This window comes from Homo sapiens, chromosome 7 (assembly GCF_000001405.40).
Source record: "Homo sapiens chromosome 7, GRCh38.p14 Primary Assembly".
NCBI lineage: Eukaryota > Metazoa > Chordata > Mammalia > Primates > Hominidae > Homo > Homo sapiens.
Window position 1 is genome coordinate 147,557,285 of NC_000007.14, and position 13,061 is coordinate 147,570,345.

Consider the following 13,061-nt stretch of genomic DNA (forward strand, 5'->3'; position numbering starts at 1 on the left):
TAGGACTTGTCACTGTCTAAATTTTTGCATGCTATGAAATTCAATCTGATATGTTCAGTAGTAATATTTCTGAATAGCTGATATTATGAATATATAGCATGAGAACTTTTACTTGGGACTTGGAGTTGCAACAGAGAAAAATTACTTTACAAATAAATCAATAGACTTGATGAGTCTATTTATTTTGCCATCAACCCAATTACCTTTCTGTTCTTCAGCAGTCTACTGGCAAAACTCAATTATCGACAATGGTTCAGACCCTTCTGTTTCTTCAGTGGCTGCTGCCTTAGCTCCTGTGTTCTGTCATCTCCTAGGGCTTAATGTGCAAAAATTGTGCAACCCAGCTAGGACTCCACTGGGTGCAGAGCTAACTGGCTGAGGCATGCAGGGTAAATACTGTCATTAGCTCATTCTCTGCATAAAAAAATGAAATATACTCAATAACTTCTAGTTTTTGAAGTATCTGATTTTATTTAATCTTCACAACAACTTGGTGAAGAAGGTATTACTATTAGGTTGCTACAAAAGTATTTGCAGTTTTTGCCATGACTTTTCATAGCAAAGCCGCAATTACTTTTGCACCAACTTAATACCTCAATTTTACAGTTGAAAAAACCACGTTAGGGAGAGTATCCAGGCGGTAAATGACAGAAAGGAGATATGATCTAAAATTTCTTAATTCTTTATTCAGATGATAAAACTAATGTGACTTTGCTCTATCACAGCTATTCTTGTCATTTTACTGCAGTGTCAAAATTCTAGATACATATTTTTAAATGTATTTTAAAGACAAAATAACATAACATATGCACATTATAAAGTGATGTAGGAAATTTAAAAATCTGTGAACAGTTTTAAATCACCCACAATATTACTGCTGAAAAATAACACCTCTTACTATTTTTATGTATTTATAAACATTTTTCTGTGTATTTATATATTTCTTTTGACATTATGGTTTTGCATCCCATTCCATTTTATCATATTTCCAGTGAAGTGAGGTGGCATTCTAACCTTATCATATGTACAATTTTACTGTATTGTCTTTCAGTAACCTACTTTTGCTGGATATTTAAATATAAATAAAAATTAGTCTACCTTGAATTTACCTTTTTTCAGGATGAAATCTATGCTTCTCCAAATGCAGTCTGAGGACAGTAGTGCCAGCGTCATTTGGGAGCTTGTCATAACTGCAAATTCTCTACTGAGTCCAAGTCTTTGGGGTGAAATCCAGGAATTTCTGTTTTAATAAGCTCTCCAGGTGTTTCACACATGCAGAATTTTGGACTGAAGTGTTTGGTTTTCTGTAAGCGTTGATGAGGCAAAGCAGCTTAGGCCTATTGTAGGTGAAAGGCAAGCACAATAATTGTTATACTTTGAAGAAAAAGAAAACTTTTTTCCTTCGTTCGTTCTTTCCTTCCTTCCTTCCTTCCTTCCTTCCTTCCTTCCTTCCTTCCTTTCTTCCTTCCTTTCTTTGAGATGGAGTCTTACTCTGTCACCCAGGCTGGAGTGCGGTGGCACAATCTTATCTCACTGCATCCTTCGCCTCCTGGGTTCAAGCGATTCTCCTGCCTTAGCCTCCTGAATAGCTGGGACAACAGGCATGTGCCACCATGCCCAGCTAATTTTTGTATTTTTAGAAAAGACCAGGTTTCACCATGTTGGCCAGGATGCTCTTAATCTCTTGACCTTCAGCCCACGTTGGCCTCCCAAAGTGCTGGGATTACAGGCGTGAGCCACCATGCCCGGCCTAATATTTTTTAAAAATGTCTGTAGAGATGGGGTCTCACAATGTTGCCCAGGCTGGTCTCCAACTCCTGGCTCCAAGCATTCCTCCCACCTAAGTCTCCCAAAGTGTTGGGATTACAGGCATGAGCCACCGTGCCCGGCCTAATTGTTAACTCTGACTGAGAACTTTTGTAGATTGAGAAAGTGGCTGGTAGTATATTGTAGATAAAGGCCACACCAGAAAGGGTGAGTGTGAGGTAAGCGAGCTCCTGTGGGGAATTTGCCTGACCAGAGCACAACATTCACATTGGCAAGCAGCTGAAGCCAAGAAAGACCTGTTAGGATAACCCAAGTTCTTGTACACATAGATGAAGATCTGTGATATAATTTATAGATATTGAGGAAACATTACACATTATTTAACATAAAAGTGATGTTTCATAACTAGAAGAACATTGGTTAAAAAGCACACTTTAGTGAGAAGTGAGGAGATATTTGGGTAGAACAACCAATGAATAAGGTGAGTGTTGTAAACAAGATACCAAATGAAAGACAATGATAAGGAGTTTTGGCAGAAGAAAAAGACAATGATTTATTACTAAATATTATAATGGAAAAGAAGGGGAATGGTTTCAATGGCAGATTGGACAAAGGGACTAAGAGGAAAACTAGAATTTGAACCTGACATCCTGGTTTCTCTTGAGCTATACATACCAATTTTAATAATCTGGAGAGAGGTGTAAAAAATTAACAAAACAGTTTTATTTTCAAAGATTGTGAGTTTAGTTTACTCTTAACTCCTCTGTATTCCTAATCACCTACATCCAGTTGGATTCTATGTCTTGCCGATCTTAAAAAAAAAAAAAAAACATTTGAGGCCAGGTGCAGTGGCTCACGCCTATAATCCCAGCACTTTGAGAGGCCGAGGCGCAGATCACCTGAGGTCGGGAATTCGAGACCAGCCTGACCAACATGGAGAAACCCCGTCTCCACTAAAAATACTAAATTAGCCGGGCATGGTGGCGGATGCCTGTAATCCCAGCTACTTGGGAGGCTGAGGCAGGAGAATCGCTTGAATCTGGGAGGCAGAAGTTGTGGTGAGCCGAGATCGCGCCATTGCATTCCAGCCTGGGCAACAAGAACGAAACTCCGTCTCAAAAAAAAAAAAAAAAAAAAAAATTGAATCAGTCCTATTTACTCTATTCTTTGTCATATTGCTTTAGTTTAAGTACTGGTAATCTTTCAACTGGCAGCCTATAGTTGAAACAGCCTAAATACTCTTTTTACCTTTTGAATTACTTCCCTAAAACCTATTGCATTGCTGCACAGAGTTTTCATTCTGTATAAGTTGATATAAAACCTATATTGACTTATGGCATCTTCCTGCTAAAAGTTTAAAAATACTTTTCCTCTGCTTTTTATTGTACTGTTTTACTTGGTATGACATTCTGAATTAGAGCAGCCGTGTAGTTTATCATCTGAATGAGACCCTTGGGACATTGAAAGTGGGCATATTAATAATTACACTGGGACAAAAGTTGTCTGGGCTTTGCCGAGCTTTCTAGCCCCATCCTCTTCTAAGAGCAGTTTACAAATGAGCAATACCAAAATAATTAGTGAACAAACACGGTTTCGAAGGTCTTCTATCCGTGTTGTTCACAGCTGTATCTGCAATGCCTAACGCACTGCTCAGTGCAGCATAGTTCCTCAATAACTATGTGCAAAGGGAGGAAATGAGGGAGGGAGGCATGGAAGAAGAAATGGGTAGATCAAAGAATTTTAGAAAGCTTGAATCTAGTATGCTGTTGTTTAAATGACATAGAGTTGAAGGTCTAACATCCTTGGAAAGAGGAAGGCATAGAAAGCCAAAGGAGGCACAGAGAACTTGGTAGAGGAAGGTTAAAAAAGGGAGGTCCCAGAATCAGACCACCCATGAAACTGACTTTCTGATTCCAACCAGGCTCTAGTGAATTTGACTGGAGAAACAAGTTTTTCCAGAACCTAATTATTCCTGTTAGAGTAACTACTGAGGTTTGTGCATAGCCAGGCTGGAAATCCAGAGAGGTGGCAATGACCTTGAGACCCTCCTCAGTGAAAGCTCTCTAATTCTAGGACCATGCAATTATTTTTAATTAGTACAATATAAGCTTAACAATGTTTTGTAATTTATTTTGTACTATTTTATAGTTTAACACACAACAACCCCTAAGGAGTGTAATTCAAGTGCAACTTACCCAAAGACTTCACTGCTTTTGTATCAGGTTGACATATTTTTACCGAAAACATATCTTAGTTTTGTGAAGAAAACTTTCACATTCTTCATTAATTCCTGGGCAGAGCTGTTTAAAAGAAAGTTTTGTCAGTAGCATTTTAGATGTTCTAACTACAAAGGAGATATGTAAATGTCCGTTTTGTACTTCTGAAAACAGGTGCAGTCTCAGTGAGAAAAAGAAAATTTGTCATGAGCACTGGAATAAAAAGGGAAATAATGAATAAGAACATAATTTAATTACATGAATGTCAGCCGTCTACACAAACTAGATTTGATGTAATTAAAGCACCTGGAACAAATAAAATGAATCAAGGAAATCTCTTTCCTTTTTTTGAGAAAGGAAGATTCAAAATTACATACTATTTATGGACAACTTGTACAAACTATGCAAAAAATAAGTGTGCATGTGAGTGTATGTGTGTGTGTGCACAAGAGAGAGGCAGAGAGAGTGAAGGGTAATTTTTCCTGGCCTCTTAGTTCATAACCAACAAAGCAGCCAATATAAGTTTTTTATAGTAAGGGGATAATATCTATAAATAAGTAGAAATTAAATATTGTTTTCAATGATCATGAGCCCCAGTAAAATAAAAATTACATTTATTTAAGGATTGATTATTTTAGTCTTTTCCCCAACATAAAGTCATACCAGGAGCTTGCTGTCTTTGGTAGGTCAGGAATGCTTATAGAGAAAGAAACAAATCATGAATTTAAATTTAGAGACAAAGAACGCTCTTTCCAGGAAGAACTACTCCTAACTAGTGGTTTGCTAGCATTGCAATATGCCACTGGGACATTTATCTGGGGAGCCATTTGTTCTGTGCTGTGCTTATGTAGGATATTTTGTTTGTTCTAGCTATCTACGAGCCTTCCTGTGAAGCCTACAAACACCTAGGACAGACATCAAATTATTACTGGATAGATCCTGATGGCAGCGGACCTCTGGGGCCTCTGAAAGTTTACTGCAACATGACAGGTAACTGTGTCATATTTATGTTTTATGAAGATGCTTTTCTATATGTCACGAATAAGTAGTTCCACCAATGGTTTGTTTCTTTGGTGCTATGTTTTTATCACAACATCTAATCAGCAACATATTGCTGGATTTGTTAGATAAGATGATGAAATGTATTATTAGAGCAATAAAACATTTTGACACTGTGCTTTTCAAAAAGTTCATGTTTGATGTGAACAATTAAGCATCATTTTTTTAAAATCAGCATGTAGGGGGAAAAAAACAGAAAGTAAAGTTGCAAAGTTCAGCCCAAAGAAAGAACTAGTAACCTAGATTAGGGAAATTTAGCATCACTGCTCCAATATTCTCACTGTGCATGCTAGAGGAAGCTTTTAGATCGTGACAGACCTTCCTCGATTCTCCATAATGATAGAAGAAATCTTTCTAAGTCCTGAAATCCCATTCTGATAATAGCAAAAATTACCTGAAGCTTTTATGAAATATATTTGGGCTTTTCTTCTTGGGAAGAGGACCTAGTTTTTCTCCACTTCCATGTGAAATGAGATTATGGGTTCTTGTCAACTTCCACAACAATGTGTAAAATGTGCAGATCTCTAAGATAAGAACAGATTTTCCATCAGACACTTGGCAATATCTTACGCTTCAAAAATCCAGAGGAAGGTGTGAGGTATGCATTATTTACTGGCTCCAGCAAAAGACCAGCATTTGATGTGAACTCCTGGGCATAATATGATAAGGGTAATGATAATAAGATGCTACTGATGGTAGTTACTGAGTGTGACTGTTTACCATCTGTCAAGTATCATGACAAATCCTTTGGACAGACACTTGAGTTTACATCCTGGCTTCATTAATCACCACATGTGTAATATTGGGCACTTTAGTAACTTTGCTAAATTCAGTAAACCTCAGAATCTTTATCTGTAAATGAATTAATGAGAATACCCACCTCATAGCATTATTGTATGAATACAATAAGGTAATCTGCATATGGTTCTTAGCTTATTGTCTAACACACGGTAAACCTTCAATAAAAGTTATTGGATGAAAAAATTTAAAGGCTTTAGTAGTTAAATAACTTGCCCATATTAGACCAGGTGTGGTGGTTCACGCCTGTAATCCCAGCATCTTGGGAGACTGAGGTAGGTGGATCATGAGGTCAAGAGGTCGAGACCATTCTGGCCAACATGAGGAAACCCTGTCTCTACTAAAAATCCAAAAATTAGCTGGGCTTCGTGGCACACACATGTAGTCCCAGCTACTCAGGAGGCTAAGGCAGGAGAATCACTTGATCCCTGGAGGAGGAGGTTGTAGTGAGCCGAGATCAAGCCACTGCACTCCAGCTTGGTGACAGAGCAAGACTCCATCTCAATAAATAAATAAATAAATAAATAAATAAAACTTGCCCATATTATTCAGGCAAATTCAAACTGAATTATATGCAGCCCATGGATCTTCTGGCTATAGTTCAGAACCACTTATAGAGTTTTATTTTGTCTTTGGTTTTGTTTTCTATACAAACTTCTTGGCTCCACCCCTGCAGACTCTGATTCATTATGTGTGAAGTGGAAATCAGATTGTAAAACTAGAACTGAAAACCATGAATGGTACTCTAGGCAAGCAGACACCAGCGAGGAACTCTCAGCAGTATCAGGAAGCCAGGCATGGTACAGAATGAAAGGGAAAATGATGAGGGCATCAGTGTAGTATGGAAGACATGTGGAGAAGATAATAAAATGGAAGCTGACCAGCCTGGGCAACATAGTGAGACCACATCTCTATTTAGAAAATGTCCCAGCTACTTGGGTGGCTCATGTGGAAGGATTCCTTGAGCCCCGGAGGTTCGAGGCTGCAGTGAGTTGTGATCACACTACTGCACTCCAGTCTAAAAGAGTGAGACCTGTCTCAATTTTTTTTTCAAAATAGAAATAAAAAAATAAAATGGGAACTAGCGTCCCCCTAAATTTCTAAATTTCCCCTAGAAATATGCAAGATGCTAGCTCCCAGTTTAATTTTTTTTTCTATTTTGAAAAAGAACTTTAGGCATGTCTCAGAGAAGGAACACACTTACCAGAGAGATTAATCTAAGAGTTCACTGACAGCTGGACTTGTCAATGCACTTGAATTCTTTTTTATATACCTTCATTTTTATCTTTTTAGCACTAAAATATTAACCTATGATAACTTGACTTAATTTATAAGAATCTCGATTCTGGTTTCTCCTAATATATGAAAATATATAATACAATTAAAGTCTATTCTTAACCTCAAGGGAAATCAGGGCATCGTGGCTTGGACTGGACAATTAAGAATTTATTTTAGTTATTTTCTTAAATTCATCTCAAAGGAAATTAGAAAAGAAAACAAAACTATAATATACATAATTCTCATATCAAGGACACACACAACACACAGGACTAGTCTACTCTCAGGAGAGCTTCTCCTGTGCATTGAACCCTTTGCTCAGAAACATATGTCTTATCTTCATCAATATCTCCCTTAAACAGCATGGCTGCAATTTAACTCAGCACTTCAAATGACTTCTGAGCTCTAAGGAGCAGAATACAACTTTTTGCAAGTAGAATTTTTTTTCTATTCATTCAAGATAGTTACAAACATCAGTGTGTTCAAGGACCCTTGAAGAATCTTGCCTTACAGGCCAGCAGGCACCTTTCAGTTCTTTGCCACTAACCAACCCTTCCTTTTCCTGGAAAGAATGTGGATTTAACATCATAAAGAGAGCATGATGCCACAAAGCTTGGCTTGGGCTATTCCATTTTCAAGAGATACATGTTAAAGAAGAGGAGGGAGTAACAGCATGAAGTAGTCTATAAAGTCTTGATATGTAACTCTATGTCATGAAAAATTATAAATGCTCCCCTAAATCCGAAGTATAAAAGGAGGCAAGCACTCAAAAAGGTGAAGAAGAGAAATGAGCCATATAAATCAATCCCCCAGGGCACAAGAGAGATTGGCTTATTCCAAAGAACTGAAATCCCAGTGGCTGGAACATAGTGAGCGTAAGAGAGTGACTCAAAATAAAGCAGGGGAAAGGTGGGTGGGGGCAGGCCAGAGCAGACCAGCCATAAGGAGTGTAGGGCAGAAAAAAGTGCGCTTTTTTTTATTATTATTTTTCAATTGCAGTGGGTGGTCGTCTATGGAAAGATTTTAAGCAGGAAAATAAGATCTTGATTGCATTCATACATCTACCACTTGGGCTTCTATAAGAGACAGCATGAAAACATTGGGACCAGCTCTGAAGCTATTATTGCAAAAGTCCAATGAAGAGATGATGCTCCCTTGAACTAGGGTAGGGATGGTTTAAAGTGATGAGAAATTGATACATTTTTAGATCTGTTTTGAAGGTAGAATTGACAGGATTGGTAAAAGTTTGGATGAGAATGTTTAAAGAGAGACAGTTATCAATACTAACTTCTCAACATATGGACTGAGTAGCTGGATGAACTTTAGTGCCATTTAGGAGAAGTGGACAATTAAGGGTAAAACAGTTTTAAAGGAAGCTCAAGAACTTACTTTTGACCTAATTAAATGTGAAGTGCCATGTGCCATCTAAACTGAGATGCAAATTTTACAGTTGGGTGAGCCCCAAAAGCCTGATTGGGTTAGAGATATAAATGTGCCAATTATTAGCATATTAATATATGAGAATTGATAATATCATTTGGGGGTTGATGTAACAGAGAAACAGCATCTCAGGAATGAGCTCTTAGAAACTCAATAGGCGGGACACGATGACTCACGCCTGTAATCCCAGCACTTTGGGAGGCCAAGACAGGTGGATCGCTTGAGCCCAGGAGTTCAAGACCAGCCTTGGCAACATGGTGAGACCCTATCTCTACCAAAAAAAAAAAAAAAGCAAAAACAAAAACTAGCTGGGCATGGTGGTGCAAACCTGTGGTCCCAGCTACTTAGGAGGCTGAGGTGGGAGGATCACTTGAGCCTGGGATGTCAAGGCTGCAATGAGCCATGATCACACTACTGAATTCCAGCCTGAGTGCCAGAAACCCTGCCAAGAAGAAGAAGGAGGAGGAGTAAGAGGAGGAGGAGGGGTAGAGGGAGGGGGAGGGGAAAGGAAGGGGGAGGGGGAAGGGGAGAAGGGGGGTGGGGGGATGAGGAATTAGTCCGTTCTCACGCTGCTATAAAGAACTTCCCTGAGTTCGTTCTCACACTGCTATGAAGAACTTCCCTGAGATTGAGTAATTTATAAAGGAAAGAGGTTTAATTGACTCACAGTTGCTCATGGCTGGGGAAGCCTCTGGAAATTTACAATCATGGCAGAAGGGGAAGCAGATGCCTTCTTCACAAGGCGGCAGGAGAGAGCATGTGAAGGCAGAATTGTCAAACACTTATAAAACCATTAGATCTCATGAGAACTCACTATTATGAGAAGTACATGGAGGAAACTGTCCCCATAATCCAATCACCTCTCACCAGGTCCTTCCCTCAACACTTGGGAATTGTGGGGATTACAATTCAAGATGAGATTCGGACAGGGATTCAGAGCCAAACTATATTACTCAATAATTCAATAGAGAGAGATTAGGGTTCTCGTGTTAAAATATTTAATAAGTGTTTGGAAAAATATACATAATTGAGGGTAAGTAGAGAAAAAGTGTCTGAGAGCATTTGGGGGGCAAACAGATCATCTGTGTGGAGGTTAAAATGACTGCTTGGATCCTAGAGAATGACAGAAAGACTTGGAGAATGAAGAGCAACTTGGCATCCATGCACACATATACAGTGGATGTGGTGGTGCCACAGACGTATGGCAAATAATAGCCACTAGAATGCGGGGAACATGGTATGGCCAGGAATAATGAACCTTCTAAGGATGCTGCATAGACAGCATAGGGGAGCCATGGATTGAGCTACATCCTAGGCAATTAGGGGGTGTTCTAAATGACAGAGCATTTCAAGCACTGCATAGGACACCAGCAAAATCTTCCCCAAAACGGCTGACTCATGAGCTGAGTGTTGAAGAACAAGTGGGTGTTATGCGGCTGAGAAATCAGGAGAAGGAAAAATAGGTCAACTTACAAAATGCTTTGTGTAGGATGCAAAGCAGTTGAAAGTTTGTCCTGAGGTGAAAGCAAGCAATGGATGGTTTCAAGCAAAAGAGTAATTTAATCAGGCATTGTATATTAAAAACATCACTTTGACAGCTGTGAATAATATTCTCCAAAGGACACCCAGAGATAAGACAGGGAAACAAGTTCGAAAGCCCCCGTAGTAATGCAGAGGTTGAAAATGGAGACTTAAAGTAGTGGCAATAAAGTAAAAGAGGAGGAGATTGATTTGATGGGTATTTAAGAAGAGGAGTTGGCCAGACCGTTCCTGATGAGACAGAGAAAGTTGAAAATGGTAACCACATGACATGGAGCACAGAGGAGCAGAGGAAAACTAGGAAAAGGGTAAGATTCTATGTTGCTTTGGGTCCCTGTAATTCAACCAGGTAAAGTTGTCCTACAGGCAGATGCTACGCAAAGTCACTGTAGGACCTTGAACACATTAAAAAAAAAATCTTTGGCCGGGCACGGCGGCTCATGCCTGTAATCCCAGCACTTTGGGAGGCCAAGGTGGGTGGATCACCTGAGGTCAGGAGTTGGAGACCAGCCTGACCAACATGGCGAAACCCCGTCTCTACTAAAAATACAAAAATTAACTGGGTGTGGTGGCGCACACCTGTAGTCCCAGCTACACAGGAGGCTGAGACAGGAGAGTCACTTGAACCCGGGGGGCAGAGGTTCCAGTGAGCCGAGATTGTGCCACTGCACTGCAGCCTGGGCAACACAGCGAGACTCCGTCTCAAAAAATAAATAAATATAAAATAAAAAAATCTTTGTCTCGGGTTTCTTGTAAATAAAGTTCAGTAATTGGAATAAGTTGATATCTTCACTGCCTTTCCTTCAAAAAAAAAAAGGAAAATATTTCCATTGTTACCATGAGACATGAAAAAAATCACTGCTTGCAGTCAAATAATTTAGACAGAGGCTTCTTATCTCAAACAAGCTTGAATTTACTATTTCTTGCTAAGTTTGACATAAATTGACTCTTCATTTTTTATCGTAAGGCAGTAGTTCTACTATGTAATTCTTCTGACTGTCTGCAGCTCAGAGCTACATCTCTTGGAAATTTAGAAATTAGGGGGTGTCCTAAATTATAGAGCATTTCAAGTGCTGCACAGTTGATGACATTGAGGAGAGAAGATTTTTCACAGAATCCTTTGTAGAAAAATTTATCATCCTGTGAAAGCCAAAGCCTGGTTTCTTTTTTTAGATCTTAGGGTACATGATAAAATGTGATCATTGTTAGCCTCGCCTTCCTTCTCCATTTTTATGCTCCCTCTGAAAATTTGGTGTTAAAACTTTTGTGAATATAAACTATCTTATATTTTCAGTATCAACCTCTTTTAATTGTATATTTCTAACATTTCAGCTTTTCATTTCCATTTTCTTCAGGTGTTACCAGCATCCTCTCCCTAGATACCCTGAACCTTTGTATTTAAAAGGTTCTTTCTGCTTTCACTTAGTTCTTTCTGCTAGATGATTAATAGTAACAATAGTAAATAATGCTCGATCCAGCCATTATTCTTGAAACTTTACTGTCTATCCTTAAACCTAAGACAATATTTTTCTTCATCTTCTATCCTCTAACTCATTTTCTCCATAACTCCCTTTGCATTCATTTTTTTCTTAATTTAAGCAAGCATCTGTGCTCTAGTGCGTGAAGTTTAAAGTCCAAATAAAGTACTCCTCTTGCATTCTTCCTAGCCCTGGTTTTGTAGTTTTATCAAAAAGCCATTAAGCTTGTTTACATAATTTGTGCTTTATAAAGCCCCAGGATTTAGCTGATCAAATTCTATTATCCTCTCTAATAGTGAAAGCTGTTCGTGTCTTTTTAATCTAATATTTATAGAGAGCTTGTAACGGAAGTTTCTAAGCGCTTGCACTCAGTATTAGTATCGTATTTAGTATTATGTTTCTCACAAGTTTTACAAGTACAGTGTGGGCAGGAGGAAATGGGTCACTGAGGTGGTGGACTTGGGCTCCAGTGGAGAGTATCATAAACCCACCCACCTCCACCTCCCCCTCCCCGTGTCCACAAAGCAAAACAGTTTCTATCCTATAGTACAGTCATGCACCACATAGTATTTCAGTCAACAACAGACTACATCTAGAATGGTGGTCCTATAAGATTATAATGGTGTATGTTTACTGCACCTTTTCTATGTGTAGATAGGTTATATACACAGACACCATTCTGTTACAATTGTCCACAGTATTCAGTACAGTAATATGCTGTACAGGTTTGTAGCCTAGGAGCAATAGGCTTTACCGTACAGCCCAGGTGTGTAATGGGTTATGCCACTGAGATTTGTGTAAGTACACTCTATGAGGTTTACACAATGACCAAATCACCTAATGACACATTTCTCAGAACCTATGCCTGTTATTAAGTGACACATGACTGTACTATTTTCCTTAGCAGTTTACAGTAATACAAATTTAGTATCCACAGTTTCTGTGTGTCAAGGCACAGGTGACCTGGGTCAACTGCTCAGAGTCTTGCCAGGCTGAGACCAAGGTGTCACCCAGGGCTTGGGTTTTACCAGAGACTTGGGATCTTCTTGGAAGTTTATTCAAGTGTTGATAGATTCATTTCCTTATGGTTTAAAGACTGACGTCTCCTATTCTTATTGTCTATTGGCCCCAGATTGCTCTCAGCTCCCAGAAGCTGCTCCCAGCTCCCTGCCTTGTGGCTCTGCCTGTCCAGGAGGAGCTCTCTGACTCGCTTTCCAGCGCTGACCTGACTTGGTCGTCACTCAGGATAATTACCCATTTGATTAACTCAAACCCACCAGTTTACAGCCCTTAATTACACCTGCAAAATCTCTTCATCTTTTCCATGTAAAGAAGCCCGGTCCCATTAGTGACACCCCATCATATTTGATGGCCCCACCCCCAGTCTAGGAGAGGGTATTATGCCTGGTGTACCCACCAGGTGGCTAGAATCTTGAAGACCATTTTAGAATTCTGTTTAGCATGCTTACCTATGTGCCTCTGTAAA

The 13,061-nt window shown here is 39.2% G+C and overlaps 1 protein-coding gene and 1 long non-coding RNA gene across 3 annotated transcripts in view; one reads left to right on the forward strand and one right to left on the reverse strand.

Moving 5' to 3' along the window:
• CNTNAP2 (contactin associated protein 2) overlaps positions 1 to 13,061 on the forward strand; it is a 2,304,198-nt gene that overhangs the window by 1,440,484 nt on the left and 850,653 nt on the right. For both annotated transcript variants that reach the window (NM_014141.6, XM_017011950.3), the window contains exon 12: positions 4,854 to 4,973. In NM_014141.6, coding sequence (NP_054860.1) covers positions 4,854 to 4,973 — 120 coding nt within the window. The remainder of the gene's footprint in view (positions 1 to 4,853; positions 4,974 to 13,061) is intronic.
• On the reverse strand, positions 172 to 4,103 carry LOC107986721 (uncharacterized). The gene is made up of 3 exons (XR_001744999.2): positions 3,963 to 4,103; positions 1,110 to 1,337; positions 172 to 316 (listed from the first exon to the last, which is right to left on the reverse strand). It is a non-coding gene; the product is annotated as an uncharacterized LOC107986721 (long non-coding RNA).